The sequence below is a fragment of the Homo sapiens genome, chromosome 20, assembly GCF_000001405.40.
Source record: "Homo sapiens chromosome 20, GRCh38.p14 Primary Assembly".
NCBI lineage: Eukaryota > Metazoa > Chordata > Mammalia > Primates > Hominidae > Homo > Homo sapiens.
Window position 1 is genome coordinate 25726487 of NC_000020.11, and position 21783 is coordinate 25748269.

The following is a 21783-nucleotide window of genomic DNA, read 5'->3' on the forward strand; positions in this document are numbered from 1 at the left end:
ACATCTTGAAGATGTTGTTCATTCTTATTCTTTTTTTTTTTTTTTGTCTGACTGGATAATTTCAAAAGACCTGTCTTCAATTTCTGAGATTTGTTTTTCTGATTATTCTATTATTAACGATTTCAATGTATTTTGTATTTCTTTCAATGAATTTTTTAGTTCCAGATTTTCTGCTTGCTTTTTCTTTAAAATATTGATCTCTTTGGTAAATTTCTCAGTTCTTATCCTGAATTGATTTTCTGATTTCTTTGTATTTGTTTCTAGATTTCTCTTGTATCTCATTGAGCTTCTTTCAAATCAATATTTTGTATCCTCATGTGGCATTTTGAGCAATTCTTTTTGTATTAGGGTCTGTTGATGAATGTATTAGCATGTTCTTGCATTGCTAATATCTGAAACTGGGTAATTTATAAGGAAAAGAGGTTTAGTTGGCTCACAGTTTTGCAGACATTACAAGCAGCTTAGTAACATCTGCTTCTGGAGGAGCCTCAGGAAGCTTCCAATCATGGCAGAAGGCCAAGGGGGAGCACACACATCACATGGTGAAAGCAGGAGCAAGAGAACAAAGGGGAGGTGTTACACACTTTTAAATGAACAGAACTCATGAGAACTCACTCACTATTATGAGGACAGTACCAAGAGGAATTGTGCTAAATTATTCATGAGAAATCCACTCCCACGATCCAGTCACCTCCCACCAGTCTCCACTTCCAACCTTGGGAATTACATTTCAGTATGAAATTTGGGCAGGGGAACACATCTGAATCATATTACTGGACAATTGTTGTGGTCTTTTGGTGGTGTCATATTTCCCTGCTTTTTTCATGTTTCCTGTGTCATTCTATTGATATGTACACATCTGGTGTTCCAATTTTTAAAATTTGCTTTTGTAGAAAAATATGTTTTCCTGAACTTCCAACACTATGTTGAATAGGAGTGGTGAGAGAGGGCATCCCTGTCTTGTGCCAGTTTTCAAAGGGAATGCTTCCAGTTTTTGCCCATTCAGTATGATATTGGCTGTGGGTTTGTCATAGATAGCTCTTATTATTTTGAGATATGTCCCATCAATACCGAATTTATTGAGAGTTTTTAGCATGAAGGGTTGTTGAATTTTGTCAGAGGCCTTTTCTGCATCTATTGAGATAATCATGTGGTTTTTGTCTTTGGTTCTGTTTATATGCTGGATTACATTTATTGATTTGCGTATATTGAACCAACCTTGCATCCCAGGGATGAAGCCCACTTGATCATGGTGGATAAGCTTTTTGATGTGCTGCTGGGTTTGGTTTGCCAGTATTTTACTGAGGATTTTTGTGTCAATGTTCATCAAGGATATTGGTCTAAAATTCTCCTTTTTGGTTGTGTCTCTGCCCAGCTTTGGTATCAGGATGATGCTGGCCTCATAAAATGAGTTAGGGAGGATTCCCTCTTTTTCTATTGATTGGAATAGTTTCAGAAGGAATGGTACCAGTTCCTCCTTGTACCTCTGGTAGAATTCAGCTGTGAATCCATCTGGTCCTGGACTCTTTTTGGTTGGTAAGCTATTGTTTATTGTCACAATTTCACCTCCTGTTATTGGTCTATTCAGAGATTCAATTTCTTGCTGGTTTAGTCTTGGGAGGGTGTAGGTTTTGAGGAATTTATCCATTTCTTGTACATTTGCTAGTTTATTTTCATAGAGGTGTTTGTAGTATTCTCTGATAGTAGTTTGTATTTCTGTATGCCAGGGCAATTAGGCAGGAGAAGGAAATAAAGGGTATTCAATTAGGAAAAGAGGAAGTCAAATTGTCCCTGTTTGCAGATGACATGATTGTATATCTAGAAAACCCCATTGTCTCAGCCCAAAATCTCCTTAAGCTGATAAGCAACTTCAGCAAAGTCTCAGGATACAAAATCAATGTATAAAAATCACAAACATTCTTATACACCAACAACAGACAAACAGCCAAATCATGAGTGAACTCCCATTCACAATTGCTTCAAAGAGAATAAAATACCTGGGAATCCAACTTACAAGGGATGTGAAGGACCTCTTCAAGGAGAACTACAAACCACTGCTCAAGGAAATAAAAGAGGATACAAACAAATGGAAGAACATTCCATGCTCATGGGTAAGAAGAATCAATATCGTGAAAATGGCCATACTGCCCAAGGTAATTTACAGATTCAATGCCATCCCCATCAAGCTACCAGTGACTTTCTTCACAGAATTGGAAAAAACTACTTTAAAGTTCATATGGAACCAAAAAAGAGCCCGCATCGCCAAGTCAATCCTAAGCCAAAAGAACAAAGCTGGAGACATCACACTACCTGACTTCAAACTATACTACAAGGCTACAGTAACCAAAACAACATGGTACTGGTACCAAAACAGAGATATAGATCAATGGAACAGAACAGAGCCCTCAGAAATAACACCGCATATCTACAACTATCTGATCTTTGACAAACCTGAGAAAAACAAGCAATGGGGAAAGGATTCCCGATTTAATAAATGGTGCTGGGAAAACTGGCTAGCCATATGTAGAAAGCTGAAACTGGATCCCTTCCTTACACCTTATACAAAAATTAATTCCAGATGAATTAAAGACTTAAACGTTAGACCTAAAACCATAAAAACCCTAGAAGAAAACCTAGGCATTACCATTCAGGACATAGGCATGGGCAAGGACTTCATATCTAAAACACCAAAAGCAATGGCAAGAAAAGCCAAAATTGACAAATGGGATATAATTAAACTAAAGAGCTTCTGCACAGCAAAAGAAACTAGCATCAGAGTGAACAGGCAACCTACAAAATGGGAGAAAATTTTCACAACCTACTCATCTGACAAAGGGCTAATATCCAGAATCTACAATGAACTCAAATTTACAAGAAAAAAACAAACAACCCCATCAAAAAGTGGGCAAAGGACATGAACAGACACTTCTCAAAAGAAGACATTTATGCAGCCAAAAAACACATGAAAAAATGCTCACCATCACTGGCCATCAGAGAAATGCAAATCAAAACCACAATAAGATACCATCTCACACCAGTTAGAATGGCAATCATTAAAAAGTCAGGAAACAACAGGTGCTGGAGAGGATGTGGAGAAATAGGAACACTTTTACACTGTTGGTGGGACTGTAAACTAGTTCAGCCATTGTGGAAGTCAGTGTGGCAATTCCTCAGGGATCTAGAACTAGAAATACCATTTGACCCAGCCATCCCATTACTGGGTATATACCCAAAGGACTATAAATCATGCTGCTATAAAGACACATGCACATGTATGTTTATCGCGGCATTATTCACAATAGCAAAGACTTGGAACCAACCCAAATGTCCAACAATGATAGACTGGATTAAGAAAATGTGGCACATATACACCATGGAATACTATGCAGACATAAAAAATGATGAGTTCATGTCCTTTGTAGGGACATGGATGAAATTGGAAATCATCATTCTCAGTAAACTATTGCAAGAACAAAAAACCAAACACCGCATATTCTCACTCATAGGTGGGAATTGAACAGTGAGAACACATGGACACAGGAAGGGGAACATCACACTCTGGGGACTGTTGTGGTGTGGGGGGAGGGGGGAGGGATAGCATTAGGAGATATACCTAATGCTAAATGACGAGTTAATGGGTGCAGCACACCAGCATGGCACATGTATACATATGTTAACTAACCTGCACATTGTGCACATGTACCCTAAAACTTAAAGTATAATAATAATTAAAAAAAAGATAAATATGTTTTCCTAAGGATATATGTATGTTGTTGACTGCAGAAATTACTCTGGCTTTGATTTTGTGTGCCTGTTGTAGTGTGATCTTTTTATGACTTCTTTGGCAGTACATAGGTCAGTGGTTTCTGTGATTTCCTCAGCGGCTTAGGGTGCAGTTACTAGTTGAAATTGTGCTGAAGTTTAGCTGGGGACTTGGACACCAATGACCCAGTCTTTGGGCCCTGGCAGTGGCAGTAGAGGGGCAAGTGTGCCTGTTTTTAGGCCAGCAGCCTAAACTCAGCTCAAAAATTTATGATCAACGAAGGCATAGAATTCTCCAGAAAAGTTAAAAGCACAAAGTCATTATGTCTGTGAATATTAAATAAATTAATTAAAGCATTTTAAATGTCTGTCTGCATTTTATGCTCTGAGGGAGGATAATATCAGAACAAAGTTCAATTGCTTTTAATTAGTGTACACAGAAAAAAATGCGTTCCTTCACCTTTCAATTTCCCACTTGGAAATATCCCTCCAAATTTAATATTTGACACAGTTAATAGCTATGACTTGCAGTCTCTTTGCTGTAATACACATGGAAATAATGGGTAAAAATAAAACTTTCAAGCCTTTAGTAAAGATGTGTGTCTACTAATTGATGTCTTCTTGGTTGGGATGGTCAGAAAAAATAAACAAAATAGAAACTAAAAATTTTCCTGTAGTATTTTTAGGGTTTTTCAAAATTGGTAGCACACAATTTGTGATCAAGTCTCTCCAGCTATTTTTCTGCCTCCTAATTCAGCAGCGATACTTTCCCTGCCTATGTTTTCCCCCAGGGCAGCTGAGAATTAAATGTCTCAGAATTAGCATTATGCTTGTCAACAAGAGTTGTACTTTCAGCTGCACCCCACACTATGTTTAATTTCTAGAGAATTGTTGATGCACTGCAGTAAATCAGTAACATCTGATGCTTATCTAGTTATTCTTCTGGCATTTGTGTATTTTAAAAAGATATGTTTATGAAACTAATTTTAGTGAAAATGAGTTTTTATTTTCTAAATGTCATCTGACTTTTTGAGGTTGCCACTTATTGTCATTTGTCAATCAACCTCCCTCAAGTTGACACCCAAAATGCTCATAATTACTTTTGTTTTTATGACCAATCATAGGTCTTACAAGGTTCCTCAGCTAATATGGAAAAAATGTATGTTTAAAATGACATTTTGATTAATATAAAACAAAACAGTTTTTAAAAATAGATTTTATTCTTAAATCTACAGAAGGCAAAGTGAAAAGATTACTCACTATTCAAATAATATTATTTATAAAATAAAACCACTTTAAAAGTTAAATCTTGTGATGAAGGTAAAAGAATACATTTTACCAGACTACTTTTTTCCCCTCAATGGAACATATTCATTCTATACAAATAGTTCTTGGGTTCTTATAAATGACTTCTGTCTTTCATTATATGCCTTATCTCTTCTTCAGATGTCTGATCTAACCCCACATATGTTATGATCGTCTTTTTTTGCCTAGTGCATTTAATGGTGTTATTTTCCCCATCATTATCCATGATCATGTCTACACTTTGGGACTTATGATATTGAGAACAGCCTAAAATTAAAGTCAGTAAAATGAGAGTGAACTTAATTTGCATTGTCTGTTCTCTGAGAATAGCTTTACGCTTAGCCCTAGCAATCTCTAGTTGTCACTTCTCATAGTCTGAGCTAAAAAGTGTTCAGATTTTATATTTTTAGTGTATCAAATAAAACTCAATTATTTTTTGCAGTCTGACCAAAGTGTAAGTAACTTCCATGGATTTTTAATTTATTTTATTTCTCCCAGTTTGTCATCCTGTTATTGCAAATTCCATGAGTTTTTTCATAATAAATTTGCCAGAATCATTAGAAGAAATTAACGATGCACAGTTTAAAATTTGCATAAAATAAAACACTTTTGATATATTGAAGACAACAATCAGTTCAGTTTTGTCAATTGAGATATATTTTTTAAATATACAATAAAAATAATTTATTATTAAATGTAATTATTTGTGCACCTTTTCCATGGGGACCATGGTTCTTTCCTTTCCAGGCTTAGTAGCAATGCCCTCCAGGTTCTCATGGAGAAATACACCATTTGATAATTCAGAAAGTCAAGTCCTTTTCAGTGTGTGATGGCCACTTACAGAGGGAAGGGCATGAATTAGAGAGGGTGAGCTCAATATCTGTTGGTAGTGAGAGAAGAAAATACTAACATTATCAATGTTATTTTATCTAACTATTTATATCATCTCTTTTCGATACATGGTTTATAACATGGAGTAAACCAATAAAATTACATAAATATAGTTAATAAATCATTGTACACATATTATTAATCCATGCCCAACTATTCTGTTACTGGTAATGGAATATAATCCTAATATTTAGAGAACATTAAGCCATTAATTTAATATGATCCTACTATTTCTGGCTCCAAATCGCTAGTAGAACCAAACTGTGCCAAGGGTGCCACGGTATGCTGGTAGGAGCTCTCTGTTGTTTGGTTCTTGCAGCTAAAATAAATGTGTTATCTTACTAGATTAAGCCTTTAAAAAGTAACAATTATTTAATTAACTATACAATGTATGTCTTACAAAATTGTCTATATGTATCAGGTGGCTTTAAGGCAATTTTCTACCTCAGTCATTTATCAGCCTAGCCTGATTATTAGCCAAGAATGCTGTCAACATTTCTGCTTTGCCTTATATATTTATATTTATGAGACAGTACAGTAATAAGTGTCCTTGAATATAGAGATGGACACACCTTCATCTCATAATAATCTGAGTGAAGGTGGTGGTTTTCTATTTCTCCATGTCATGAAGCTAAACTGTTATTAGATCTGGATTAAATTCAACTGATAAAATAATGATGCCTGAACCCAAGCTAAATAACATGAGACAGTAACTGCATCATTATGCTGTGAAACTTTACAAGATATTCTGGTATTGGAGATATTTGGTGAAAACTTTAGGGGAATTACCTTTACTATTGGAGAGAGTATTTTTCTAGGCATTTGAGAGTATCCCTGCAGTAAGTGATGTCTCAGGAAGAGAATCAACATGTGATTATTTAGAAGCAAGTTCATGGTTGTCATGTAGTGACTAAAGTGGCAATTTTTTTCTCGATAATTGAGAGATGGCAATCCTGTGCTGAAAGGAAGAGAGTCTCATAAAATATTTCTGGGATGAAAAATAAGCTTGGAGAAAATCAGCATCATTTTTAGGTAAAAGAATTAGTAGATTACTGGTAAACATAATATAATCTTTAAGGGGCAATAATGCCCCTTAAGTATGTTCATTTTAATTCTCACATACTGAGAATATTTCACAGTTCATGGCAAAGGAAATATAAGGTTTCGGATGAAATCAAGATTGAGAATCAGCTGATTGAAAATAAGGATATTATCATTAATTATTATAGTGCATTCAGTAGAATTACCGAGTCCAAACTCACAGGAGAGTGATGAAGAATGAGATGTATCAAAGTGATGGGATGTGAGAAAGAGTCAACTGGATATTAGCATTTGTTTATTAGTGATTCTTTCCTATTAGAATAAATTTTCATTTAATTTAACTGAGCAAATACCATTGAGCAATTTTATATGTTCCTTACCATCCTAGATGCTTAATATAGAATGCAGGAATATTAAACAACAAGGATATGATTTCTAAAAAGAGAGGCACAGGTATAATAGAAATTTAGAAATTGTGCATCTACACAGGCATAATTATGAATGTGTTGATGTTTTACATGTATAAGTTATTTGGTGTAGAAAATAGTGCAGAGACTGGATTATGCAGAATTTATATGAGATAGAGTTAACCAAGAAGTGGGTAAAATTAAAATAATGATGTAATCATTTTGGACACTAAAGAACAAACATTGATAATGTGAGATCCATTGTTTTGTTCCCAGATATATGAAATATGTTTGTCATTAATATGAACACACTTTTCACTTCAGTTATGCCTAAAAATGTTTTTTTTTTCTTCTGAATCTGCCATTGGACTTTCAGACAACACCTTTTTGCTTTTCTTCCACATCTTCACACTCCTTCAGGATCAAAAACCTAAGCCACATGACTGGATGAGCCGTCACTTGGCCTTCATTCGGGTAGTGATGGTCCTCACTGTAGTGGATGTTTTGCCTCCAGATATGCTTGAATCACTGCATTTTGGGAATAACTTCAAATGCAAGTCCTTGATCTAAATAAACAGAGTGACGAGGGGCCTATGTATCTATACCACCTGTCTCCTGAGTATACACCAGGCCAGCATAATCAGCCTCAGCAACTTCTGGTTGGAAAGCTTTAAACATAAATTTACAAATAACATTGTCAGTGTCCTCTTTTTTCTTTTTTGTTCCCTCAATTTGTCTTTCAGTAGTGACATAATATTCTTCACTGTGGCTTCTTCCATTGTGACCCAGACCAATCTACTTAAGGTCCGCAAATACTGCTCACGTTCTCCCATGAAGTCCATCATGTGGGGAGTGTTTTCCTTGTAGGATTACGCTGCTCTCAAGTGCATACATGATGATCTTTTTGTCCAAGCATCAGAGGTGATCCCAGCATCTTCACAGTACCAGCCTTTCCCCAAGATCCTCGCCAGAGAAAAGGGTTACCCAGATCATCCTGCCACTGGTGAGTTGCTTTGTTGTCATGTACTGGGTGGACCTTATCATCTCATCCTCTTCATCCCTGTTATGGACGTATAACCCAGTCATCCTGAGCATCTAGAACCTTGTAGCCTGTGTCTATGCCACTCTCGTTCCATTGGTACAAATCCGCTCTGATAAAAGAATAGTTAATATTCTCCAAAAAATGGAATTAAAGTGCTATAATTTTTTAATGTGTTGGTGATGAAAAATATTTCTAAAAATTAGTCTCATTCTATAGTTAAATTGTTCAAGTAGCCCCAGATTTAGCTTACTGAGTTTAAATAAAATGCGTGGAATTACACTTTTATTATATTTTTATGCTTCTGAAACTGAGGCATCTAAGGACTATGTAGTTTCTTCAGTTCAATGTTCACCATAGATTGACATTTCAGATATCAAGTCTTTTGCACTTTTATTTTTATGTTAACTTTGTACAAGAAAATGTTTCTCTCTTTTTGAAGTACATTCTTAAAAAATTTGTTTTGGTAATCAAATCTCTCAATGTTTTTACTTTTGAAAATATTTACTTACTCTGTTTATGAATGATACTTTAGCTAAATATTCAATTCTAGCTTTTAAGCCATGCTTGCTCATTGTAACCTCCCTGACTAAAAAAAATTATGTCAATTTGGATTTTAAATTTAATCTAGAATTCATTTTAAAGGGTTTTAAATGAAATTTATATGTGGCTAGATACTGTTTTGGTAATACTCGATAGTTTCCCGCCTCTATTGGGATATTATTGACAAAAATTTTGTATATTTATGGTGCACAATATGATGTTTTGAGGTATAGACACGTGCACGCAGACACATAAACACACACACACACACACATTGTAAAATTACCAAAATCAAGCTTAATAACATGTCAATTACTTCTCATACAAGGGTATTTTTGGTGTATGGTGAGAACATTTGAGATCTACTTCATTAATATAATTTACTTATACAATACATATTATTAATATAGTCTCTATGCTGTATACATATATTTATATTAACTTCTCTTTTGTTATTGTTGGAGACAGTTGTCTGTCTTTGTTCCCCAGGCTGGAGTGCAGTGGCATTATCATAGCTCACTGAAACGTCAAACTCCTGGGTTCAAATCATTCTCCCACCTCAGCCTCAAAAGTAGCTAGAACTACAGGGGTGCACCACTATGCCAAGCTAATTTGTAGGAACAGAGTCTTGCTATGTTACCCAGGCTGGTCTTGAACTCCTGGCCTCAAGCAATCCTCCTGCCTTAGCCTCCCAAAATACAGGGATTATAGGCATGAGCCACATGCCTAGCTTTATAACATTTTCTTTATTCATTTATGTGTTGATGGACATTTACATTGTTTTCATATCTTGTCTATTGTGAATATTGCTTCAAGAAACATAGGAGTGAAGATATCTCTTCAATATGTGATTTTATGTTCTTTGGATATTTAACCATAGGTAGGATTCCTGAATCATATGATAGTTTTATTTTTAATTTTTTGATGAATAATCATGCTGTTTTCCATAATGGCTTTACCAATTTACATTCCCAGTGACAGTGTACAAGGTTCCTTTTCTCTCCATCATTGATAACATTTGTTTTCTTTTGAATTTTTAATAAACATTACCCTAACATGTGCTTGAGGTGCTATCTCATTTTGGTTTTGATTTGCATTCTCCTGATGATTACTAATGGCTTCTTTGAAAAAGGATCCATTTAGATTATTTGGCTACTTTTAAAAAGAATGTGTTATTTTTATTGTTATTTTTATTCAGAGGGGGTTATATTTTATGAATTTCTTACAGATTTTGAATGCTAACCCTTTATCTGATATTTGGCTTACAAGTATTTTTCTTCGGTTCTGTGGATTGCCTTTTAAATTGATTGACTGTCTTTTGCTATGCAGTAGAAACTTTTTAGTTTGATGTCGTTTCATTTTTTTTCTCCCTGGGCTTTTAGTGTCAAATACAAAAAATAATTATTGCCGCAAACAATGCCAAAGAATTTTCCCCAATGTTGTTTTCTAAAAGTTTTATGGTTTCAGGTCCAATATTGAAGTCTTTAATCTCTTAAGTTAATTTTTGTGTATTCTGTAAAAGATGGGTTAAATTTTTTTTGCATGTGTATATCCAGTTTTCCCATCACCATTTATTGAACAGTGTATTCTTTCTTCACTGTATATTTATATATCTTTGTTGAAAATTAGTTGACTGTGTTCAGATGGATATTTCTGAGCTCTCTATTCAGTTTCATTGGTCTATGTGTCTGTGTTAATGCCAGCATCATGCTGTTTTGATGACTGTAGCTTTGTTATATCATTTGAAATTAAGAAGTTTGATGCCTTCAGCTTTGTTCTTGCTCAAAATTCTTTGGTTATTTTGGGTCTTTTCTAATTCCTTACAAACTTTAGAAATTTTTTATTTTTCTGGAAAATGATATTTTAATTTTGATGGAGATTGCTTTAAATTTTTTTTTTTTTTTTTTGAGATGGAGTCTCACTGTGTCACCCAGGGCCCAGGCTGGAGTGCAGTGAGGTGATCTCAGCTCACTGCAACCTCCACCTTCCTGGTTCAAACAATTCCCCTGACTCAGCCTCCTGAGTAGCTGGGATTACAGGTGCACGCCACCATGCCTGGCTAATTTTTTTGTGTGTTTTTAGTAGAGATGGGGTTTCACCATGTTGGCCAGACTGGTCACGAACTCCTGACCTCAAGCAATCCACCCACCTCGGCCTCCCAAAGTGCTAGGATTACAGGTGTGAGCCACTGCACCCGGTGAGATTGCTTTAAATCTTTATATCACTTTTAGTAGTATGAATGTTTTAATATTAATTTATCCAATCCATGAACACTAAGTTTTTTTTGTCTCTTCTATAATTGCCTTTGCCACTATTTTAGAGTTTTTATTGTACAAATCTTTTACCGTCTTAGTTATAAGTATTATTTTTTATGTTATGGCATATGGAATTTTCTTAATTTTTCCCATATATTTTGTTGTAAGTGTATAGAAATGCAATTTATTGTTTTGTACATTGATATAGTATCCTGCAACATTGCTGAATTAGTTTATTAGTTTTAAAAGTTTTTTTCCTGTAATGATGAGCACACGGGACTGTGTTTACACACTCATTAATATTCTGTTAACATATCACAGTGCCTAAAAATGTGCTCTGTTGTATTTCTGCGGTGACCAATTTAATGGCATCTTTTAGTCCTAATTTTTTTTTCTTTTAAAATACTTTTGTCTGGTATTGTATAATGGTGTGTTACTTTTCAGTTGTGCTACACATTTATTTCCAGGCAGAGTTAGTCAAGCTTTCTAATAAAGTTATTTAATACCTTTATGTGCATTTAGTTGTTGTAAGCCAAAACAGTAGATTTTAATGATAGTTTTAAAGTTACCAAGTAAGATTGAAAATATGTCAATTCATCACTGCTCAAGAATCTCTGGATTCCTCATTTCAAACTCTTACGTATGATGTGTGTGTGTGTGTGTGTGTGTGTGTAATGGCTTAGAATCTTACCTAACATATTGTATGCACTAACCAAGTACTAAAAGACATGATTCATCAAATTATCATCTTTATACCATTCTTCAAATAGAATATTATTTTCTGTTTGTTCTAATTAAAAATTATGTTTGTCTTATTTAAATATCAATGAAAATTAAAAGGTCTACTCAGTCTGCCGCCTTGATAAAAGCCAAAGCTAAATGGCAGTTTCACTAATATTTTAAATTCAATACCTTATTTGCATCACGATAAATATAAACAGTAAGGATAAAATTATATTTTAATTACCCATCCTACAATAAAGAGACTTTGAGTCATTCATTAATAGGGCTGAAGCCTTGCTCTGTATTTTTCTGATTTTTCTATGTTAACAGCCTAGAAAAATTTTTTACACATAGAATACTACAAATTAGAAATTAATATCTTGAAATGTACAAATTATAAAAAAACTGAGTAAGTAGAATAGATGAATATATGTTTATATATTATGAATTGTTATATAACAAGCAAAATTATTAATTAAAAATATTTTCACAAAGAAAATTCCAGGGCAAAATAGCCTTTATGGAAAACTGTCCCTATATTCAATAAATAATACTAACTCTTCACCCAAAAATATTTTCAAAAATTGAAAAAGAGGGAACATTTTCCAATTTATTCTAGGAGGCCAGTATTTCTGTGATACTAAGGGCAGACCCAAATATATGACAGAGAAGGACTATGGACCAATGTGGCATATTTATGTATATACATACATCCCCAGAAAATATAGCAAACCAAATCCAGTCACATAAAATATGCATATACACGAAGACCATATGATATTGTTTTATAAATGCAATTGTGACTTAATATCTAAAATTTAATCAAGATGATGCTCAATACTAGTAAAGAACAAAAAGTGATAATTTAAATAGGCACAGAGAAAATTTCAAAAATTGAATATCCATCCCTGAGAAAACCCCTAGCAAACTACTAATAGAAGGAAATTTTGAGACCTACTAAAATGCATCTATTTTTTAAATCTGTAGCTAACATCATACTTAATGGTGACAAACTAGTGTTTTTTTTTTTACCTGAAAGTTTGGGGAGAAGACAAGAATTTTCACTATAATATTCCAGATTGTAAAATATAAAAGTAGAACTGTATTTATTGTAAATGATACAATTTTCCGTTAAAAAATACAAAAAAATTCACTAAAATACCACTAAGGCAGACAAATCCAGTTTGTCAGTAGAGGGTGATTTATTGGGGGGACACAGAGAATGAAGCATGATCTTTGGCAGGTGCAATACAGGTAGATCTCTGCGCCGTAACCCTCCAGACCCAGGACTTATACCCTATAGAAAAGGGCATATGACCAATGTGCCAGACAATTAAAGTGGACCTTCCAGGAAATGATGAGATTGCTATCTATGTGTGTCATATCCTGTAATTTGTGCCGTAACATCAAGGTTTCTGTTGACCTAGGGGCAGGATGTGGTCTTATATAAAGAGCAGTAGATAAAGTGGATATCCTAAAGGCATTCCTGGAACTGGGGGTAATCAAAGTCAAATGGCAAATTATAATTCAGGATGGAGTTACTTTAGTCTTTACACTCCACCCATCTTATCCACCTGTAACTATCTCAGCATTCTGCTCTTCTGTGATGGTCCATTAGTTTTTGTGGAGAGACTGTAGGTGACATGTTTTATCACTGTGTTTTTTGCTTATAAGCAGATATAGCAGTAACAATACAGACAACAACAGACAATGACACCTATGACATGTATCAGACACAGAATTAATAACACTTTCTGCCACCATGTTCCTCAGGATCCAAACCAGGAGGAGAGCCATTGGGAGAAAGGTTAGAGTCAGACACTGTGGTTATTTGTTTATGCATGTCTTGTAGGGCTAGAGTTATACTGCTAGAATGATCAGGAATAAATACACAACATTCCGTCTTAATCATGGCAAAAGCTTTTCCTTGTGCAGCAGTTAATACATCGAATACCATGTAATTTTGTAGAATAGCCTTCAGTATGGGGGTCATCTCAGAGTTCATTAAAAAATACCTTGGAGGCTGTCATTGAGAAAAAGCTGAGTATAGTTAATGTGTTTTCAATGCCTACAAATGGCACAGAGATTGAAGCTAAATAATCATACCAATAAAAGAAAGCCCTTATCCACCTACTAGTCACATATGGGAAATTAACAGGTTTATCAGTTTGCTTTTCCCATCATCCTTGGACCAATAGAAAACCTAACATGTAGTGTCCTAGCCATCCCAATGGTGACCAAGGCCAGAGATTAAATCCATACAACCATTCAGTACCATTTGGAGCTGCCAATTTATTCCAGGTTGTTGAGATGAGTCTGTAGTAACCCAGTCCATGGCTTGCAGTATTACAATGTGTTGGCATTGTTCCTGGGACATCCAGCCCTTACTATGGGTATAATTGAGCCATGAGGCGTGGTTTCATTGCTCACATCATAGGGGCACTAACTGACTTAAATGCCCTATAGCTGGTGTCAGCCAAATGAAACCATCTCAAATTTTAAAAAGACCTTCTTTACAGTGAGAATGTCAAGGTCTTATAATAAGACTCATTCCTTAGAATCCTTTGGTTGTGGCGTAGCTCTAGTTACTACATGTTTTTGTGTGGCATTTATTGAAAAGGGCTTTCCATGTCCATAACTGTTAAGTGTCTTGTTAATAGGCTAATTACATCACTTCTTGTCACATCTTCTAAAGGTGTATTCCACTGTTGAAGAGACTTGATGAATATCTGTACATTCTGCAAGTCATTTTTCTGCATAGGTGATACATACCAAGGCATACCAGAGGTGCTGGAATAAAATAACCACAATGCCAGTAGGCATCCTTTTATGAACTGTCAGCATAATGTTGAGCCCATTGTAGAGAAAATACAGCAGAGCAGCAACAGGAACAGAAGACTATGGGTGTAAATACAAGTGTTTAGCAGTAGTTGAAAGGGCAGTTCTTTCCCATCAAGCAGAATGATTGTAGTGACTTTGTCCCTGTTAGTTAGGACATAGGCACCCAAAGGATTATGGGCTGGGAGTGCACACCAAACATGGGGCCTAAGGGGTAAATGTGCCAGTATTATCTGTAAAGTTACAGGGACAGCAAAAGACTATGTTAAACCACTGATCAAAGTGTTCTTTAAAAGAAGTTGTGTTCCAGTGTATTGGTATTTGGCACATTTTTGCCCAGACTCCAACAGGATCAACAGAGACCACTTTAGCTGGCTGGGGAAGTTCTCACTCTCTGGAAAGAAATAGCCTATCCAACCAGGGGAAATTTGCCAGTCCAACAGTATTCAAGGGCTCCCTTTCTTGGCTGGAGGTCTTGGGGAGTCCTAAATAATACGTGCCATTGGCCTTTTATCAGCTACAGTAGAAATGGATCTGGTTGGATTTTCTTTACAATGATGGTTAATAGACCCTCCTTTATGGGGATCCTGAATCATTGGTATAGTTCCAACCCTATATTTGTTTCAACTGAATTAAGGTGTCTAATGGTTGGAGTCAAAACCTTCACCCAGCCATGCAAAATATTAGATTTTAAGAGTGCTCACAGTTGAGTCTAGTGCTATTTTTCCTTTCAATCAAACCTGCCACTTGAGGATTACATAATAAATAGAATTCCCAGTCTATATCCTTTTCATGTGCCCAACCTTGGACATCATGTTCAATGAAATGTGTGCCTCAGTCACTATCAGTGTGTTGAGGATATCCATATATGACACCGAGTTGCTTCAAGCCCTTGATGGTGGCTGTCTGGTTTGCCCTTTTGCAAGTGAAGGCCTGAAATAATACTATAAGAGTATCCACATATTTTAGTGCATACTTTTGTCTCAAGTTTACTGGCAGGGATTCGATGTAGTCTCTTTACCAGCTTATCAGAGGGGTAGCTGTCTTATGAATGAGTTCCTATGTATGTGGTGTGTGGTGAGGGCTCAGGTGAGAGCAAACTAAGCAGACTGTTATTGCCACCACTAAATCTGCATAGTGGAGGGCAATCATCCTACCTTCGCTATTTGCCAGCCCACTCGTGCACTGTGATGCTCACTATGTTCATGTACCCAATCAACTAGCTCAGATGACTGTGAGGAAGCCAATGTTCTAATTTTTGCTAGAGTATCTGCATCCATGTTACCAGGAAGGAAATCTGACCAGTGTGCTGAAACACAGTACATGATTAAGCTCACAGTGGGTTCTTGTAGCCTCTCCCAAATGTCGTTTCACATGGCAGCTGGCCATAAGGGTTTTTAAAGCACATAGCAACCATTTCAGGACCATTGGGAAGCCAAGTTGTAAGACCCTTAAGACCCTATAGTTCTCTGTACAGACAGGCCCACCTGGATAGGCCATAACTCATGGATACCAACCAATTATGCACGTTGAAGCTCTGCCCATTGATGGCTTTGTTGCATTCCCTCCTCAATCCAGATAGCATCTGTCTAGTTGTACAGCTAGAGCCATCCACATGCATGTTACTATGTGTGGCTTGATCTGAATACCAATCATTTTCAAAAATGAGGCCGTGCCTTCATGTACATTGGAAGCATCTCTTGTGAGGGATCCGCACTGGGGGCAGCCCTTGTCTCATAGTGCACTGGCCCTAACATAGCAGGCAGTTCATTCCCCAAGGGACTCATGGAGAGGATACTATGTTGTTGCAGATCTGCATGCCATTTTTGTACAGTGGAGGCTTGAGCAATGGCTAATTCAGGCCTGGCAGACAAGCCTTTCATCCAGCAAATGGGTTCCATTTGCTGCAAGCCTTGTATACCTGTTCAGTCAAAACAGTGGATTTCACCACTCCTCCACAAACATCCTAGGGGAACTGTTTTTTTATTCTGGACTTGCCCGAGAGCCCCAGTGTTCCCATCAGGACTTATGGTCACATCTAAAGACACTGCTACTGTTGAAGGGACTCTGGGCTGGCCAAATAATATAGCACACCGTGGGGAAGAAAGGTGTACAGATTTTCTTTTACTTTCCCTCTTAACATAGCTTTTACTACCCAAATCCATAGGCATAATTCTCCAACAGATGTTCGTAAAGTGTGCCTTAAGAGGACATTTATACCCAAGATGTTTTGTGGACTAGATGAGATACAGTAAAGCAAGCAGGAGGTTCTAACCAGAACCAAGGGGGAAAGAAGTTTGTTTAACTCAGATTGTTCATCCCCCATAGCCATCTATAGCTCCCCACTTATCAGGATGTCTTTCTGCATTTCCATGAATTAAGGTGCATTTGACACCTGTGCCTACCACTGCTAAGGTCCTCTGCTTGTTTTCTGGACTTAAATGAATTGTGAACTCCACATGGACCTCTGGTCACCTCGATTGCTCATACATGAAGGCAGCCTCGGCCTTAACCCTATTCTCTAGGCTGGGAAGGACGCCACTCATTGAACATAGATTGGAGTTCTTTTCTGCAAAGTTTTTTCTTCTTTCTACTCTTCTGCTGGGGCAATAGGCAGGGCACTAGGCAGGGCATTAGCAGAAGTCAACTCCTTCCAAATGCCCACAAATATGGCCTTTTCTTTGTCCACCCCAGCTGAGATTAGATTATACATTAGTTTTTCTAGTAACCCTAACTGAGTTACTGAAAGACTTGGCATGTCCTTCTTTTCCTTTTCCTTTGGTAAGCAGTCAGACCTTATTTCTTCCCTCTTTCTCCAAGATTAGCTACAGTTCTCCCACATCACACACATCTTTTCCCATGAGGGAACTCAAGATGTATATGAGGGCACCATGCCAATTCCAAGGGACATTTTGTTAACTACTGATTTTTCATGACCATGGTAAACACAGCCTTATCTGATCCTTCAAATTATTGGATATATATGTCCTGCCACATACCCAACTCACTTAAATTGATGTATGTTTCCTCCAGTGATGGCCATGCCAGGGTCTGACCTGAGAAGTCTCCTTCATTTGGCCCGGCCTCGCTCATGGCCATGATAATCCAGTCCATAACACTATGATTGCCCTGAACAGTTGTAGCTTTGTGCAAACACTGTCTCAAAGCAGGATGGGTGGTTATTTGTTCATTGTTTTAGCTTCACTGTCAGCTAGGGAGATGCCATTTCTATCAGAGTCCTAGTCACACAAACCATGTGGCTAACCTTTCTCTCAGCAACTATTTAAGTATTTTTGCTATGTCTAATAGTTCTACTAAGGTGTACTCTCAGACAGTACAGGTTTATTGCAAAGACTGTCCATTATTGCCCAGCTCCATGTGTTGGGCTTTTGCTTTCTGCTGCATGAGTGGATTGCTCTAAAATGGGGACGGTAATCCTACACCTCTTCTGTGATAAACTCTGTCTTCATCTGGCTCACTAGTTGCTTTCTGATGATTCCAGACCTTAGCGTCCCAGTCAGGTTTAGCAAGGCAGTCCTCCACTTTCAGCTGGTGCAACTTCCACCCTCCCAGCTGCACAAGTGGCAGCTAGAGCTTCCAGCTGTGCCTCCTGTGTTTTGAACTCATCCCCCAAGGTAGTCACTAACACAGACATGGATGTCCTCAAACTCATGCTTAACAGTAATTTTTCTTGTAGCCAGATGACCCTGGTAATGGAATGTGGTGATGGCAGCTGGGCTGTTGAGCAGGATGATGAGTGGCAGAATTAGCAGGGCTCTGGCTCCCATGTTGGTCCATCCTGCTGGCATGGAGCTTTTTCCAGGCTGTGGGCTGGATGTGGTAGGTGGGGCTTCCTTTCTTCCCCAGACTAGCCCAGCAATTCTCCAGGAAGCCAGGCCTCTGCGGCTAATTCTGTCTTGCACCTCAACACGGCAGGAAACAGACCCAAAGCAGGCAGTAACTTGCCTAGATCCCCAGAGGAGAGACGAACTCCTCCTCCCACCTGGAGGCCCTGTCCCAGCTACCTTCACCCCATACCCCAGCACCACTACTGACCAGGGTTCCATCTTCTGGACTCTATGGGCATCTCCATTCTGGGCTCAGCCACGGTGGAAGTAAGATGTGGTGTCTTGGGAGACCTGGTTGAGCAGGTCTCTGTTTCCTCATCTGAAAAATGTACAAATAATGAACCTGTTGTGCAGGCCTTACAGAGTCCTGATGAGGTTCAAGGGAGAAAGGGAATTTGAGGGTCCTTGCATCTGGCTCTTCTTGATAAATATAATGGTGAGAACAATGGTGATAGTCACATTCAACTGAGTCCTCAGGAGGCCCTGAGGTAGGCGTGGTTTCCACTGCCCTTTCCTGATGAGAAAGCAGCCTCTGGGAGGCCCGGCTTCATGCCCAGATGGCAAAGCCGTGAGTGCTGGAGCTGGGAGTGAGTCTAGAATCAGGACTCACTGGAGGTAGTGGGGGTATTGCATCAGCTGACCAAGGCCAGTTAACCAGGGTTTGAGGTTAGTGTGGCTGGGGTGAAAAATGGTTGATGGAGGATAATCTCACTGACCTTACCCCTGACCCTCACAGTAGGGGACCTCCAAGTTGGTCACCCTGGAGAGGAACCCAGCAAATCTGGGGCAGCAGCAGGTGAGTGTGCCTGTGGTGGGGAGGGGCTGCAGGGAGTCAGAGGACAGGGACCGTCCCTCCCAGCTGGAGGCCTCTACATCAAGCAAGCAGGGGACCTTTCTCCCCCAGCTCTTCCCTCCTGTGACCACAGTGCCTGAAATGCCTCCATTAGAGAGACCAGAAAAAGGGCCTGGGAGACCTTGGCTCACTGTGGATTTTGGGAATGGTGGAGCAGGGGACCCCATGATCTTATTACTTGCTAATATCCCACCAGAAAATTAAAAAAAAAAAACAACAAACTGGGGATGCCCGCTGGCTTTGGACACCAGCTAGGGGAAAAAGGTGAGAATTGGGGGAAGACAGCTGGGGGTCCTTAGTTACTCCAAGTGAAAGACCTGGGTAAGGGGATACAGAAGACAGGAATGGTGAGATTTCACACGACAGACCTTGGACAGGCACCTAAAAGCGGGTGCTCATCATCTCTAGCACTCTGATGGCCCAGGCTGTGTGCTGTCTCTGGGCATGTTCCTCAGTGATGCTGGACACTGCCATGAAGGACTGTGTGGATGGGAGTGAGCCTGGGGCAGGCAGGTCAGGGACCGGGATCCTGAGGCCTGGGAGGAGAGAGCCGAGGATTGAGCCCTTGGATCTCAGCACTCAGCAGACCTCCTCTCATGAGAGCCTCACAGCTGCCCCTGTGAGCTGGGGTGTCAGGCCCATGTCACCTATGAGTGGTGGAGGTTCCATAGCAGCTGCCAGCCTCTGCTTCCTGAGTAGTGATGCGTCAGGGCTGTCTGACTGCAAAGTTGTGTGAGGTTTGGGCTGAGCTGAACTTAGCCTGTCCCTCAGGTGGTGCCCATGAGAGGAGAGGGAAATTGCACCCATGAAAGATCAGACAGGTCCTAAATGGCTGAGCGCTTTCTCTTTATGCAAGGCCTCAATTTCCCTGTCTGTCATGAGAGAGGGTTGAGGCAGAAGGTTCCCAAGCCTCAGTGCCCATGCTGTCTCCTCTGGAGCCCAGAGGCTAACACAGGTCTCAGTTCTGCTTGGTGCACAACCCCTGACCCTCATAGCCTTGGCAGTAGCACAGCATGAGGGCAGGTGAGGAGTGGGGCTAGCCATGGGCCGGAGTGCCTTTCTGATGAACCTTGGCTGTCTGCCTTCCAGGGATATTAGGTCAGCACTCAAAAGAGGAAGATGAGCAATTGGGGCCCTCACTTTGGGGGATATTGGGAATGTGGAAGTCAGAGACCCTCCTGGGCAGGACGCCCCCTGGCTCCACCCTCTGCCTCTTAGATTTACTGGGAGGGTTGGATGCACAGAGAAGGAAGAAACCCATCCCAGTGGAGGGTGTGGGTAGGGGTCTGCAATCAATGACAAATTCCTAGAGGAGGGGCTGTTTATATCCAACTCTGAAAACAGGTTGAAGCTGAATGGCATTGAAGAAGAGGGTGCCCTTTAAGAGAAAAGCCCTAGAGACCAGCCCCTGCTCCTCCCACCCCAACAAGTCCCCTTCAGCATCTTCTATCCAGGCCCTGTCAGCATCCTGTCCTTCCCTCTGGGTCCAGGAAATCAAAGTCCTCCAAGAAATGCAGCCACTTCTGTAACAAGAGAGAACTGTCATCTTCAGAGTCAGGAGGAATTTGGGGTTTGGTTCAGGTCCATTGAAAAGCACAGTTGGAATAAAACTTGGGGGTAGCAGATATTCAGAGGGTAGGAGGAGACTCTCTCTTACAGCCAGCTTCAGACAGCCTGTGGACATGGCTCCCTGGTCAGCAGGAGAGCATGTTGCATGGGGATCCCTGGGCAGGCACTGGGAGGGAGGCCTGAGGTGTGGCTCCTGCAGCGTCATAGCTACTGCTCTTTCCTGCAGTGACAACCTGTCCGGCCCACTGAGCCTCCATCCCAGTAGGCCAGCAACACCCTCAAGGCTAAGAAGATCAGGCCATGAAGAATCTCAGGGCCAATGAGTGCCCAGGTGGTAGGTGCAGAGTGCCTCAGGGCTCAGTGAAGTTTGGGCTGAGCACGGGCTCTGGACTTCCAACTAACTCCACTGTGACTAGCACTGTGATTGGGGCAGCCTCACTGCTCTGGAACTTGAGGTACCATTGTCACAGATATAAAACACCCTTCCAATCTTTTTCTTTTTTATCTTCCTCTGTAATCACCATGTACTACTGCTCTGTTAGTGTTTTTATTCAAATTAATAAACATATGTTATACAGTGTATATCATTGTTCCTCATGATTTCTACACCATACTGTATGATTCCAGTCACATGAGGTACTTATGGTCGTTCCATTCATAGAAACACAAGGTAGAAGAGTGGTTCCCAGGGGCTGTAGGGAGGGTAAAA

The 21783-nt window shown here is 39.1% G+C and overlaps 1 long non-coding RNA gene and 1 pseudogene across 2 annotated transcripts in view; both read left to right on the forward strand.

Moving 5' to 3' along the window:
* Positions 1-21656, forward strand: part of LOC107985400 (uncharacterized) — a 51102-nt gene extending 29446 nt beyond the window's left edge. For both annotated transcript variants that reach the window (XR_007067557.1, XR_007067556.1), the window contains exon 2: positions 7783-21656. This is a non-coding gene — a long non-coding RNA (uncharacterized LOC107985400). The remainder of the gene's footprint in view (positions 1-7782) is intronic.
* On the forward strand, positions 7743-8628 carry VN1R108P (vomeronasal 1 receptor 108 pseudogene; annotated as a pseudogene).
* Positions 21657-21783: the final 127 nt, after the last annotated feature.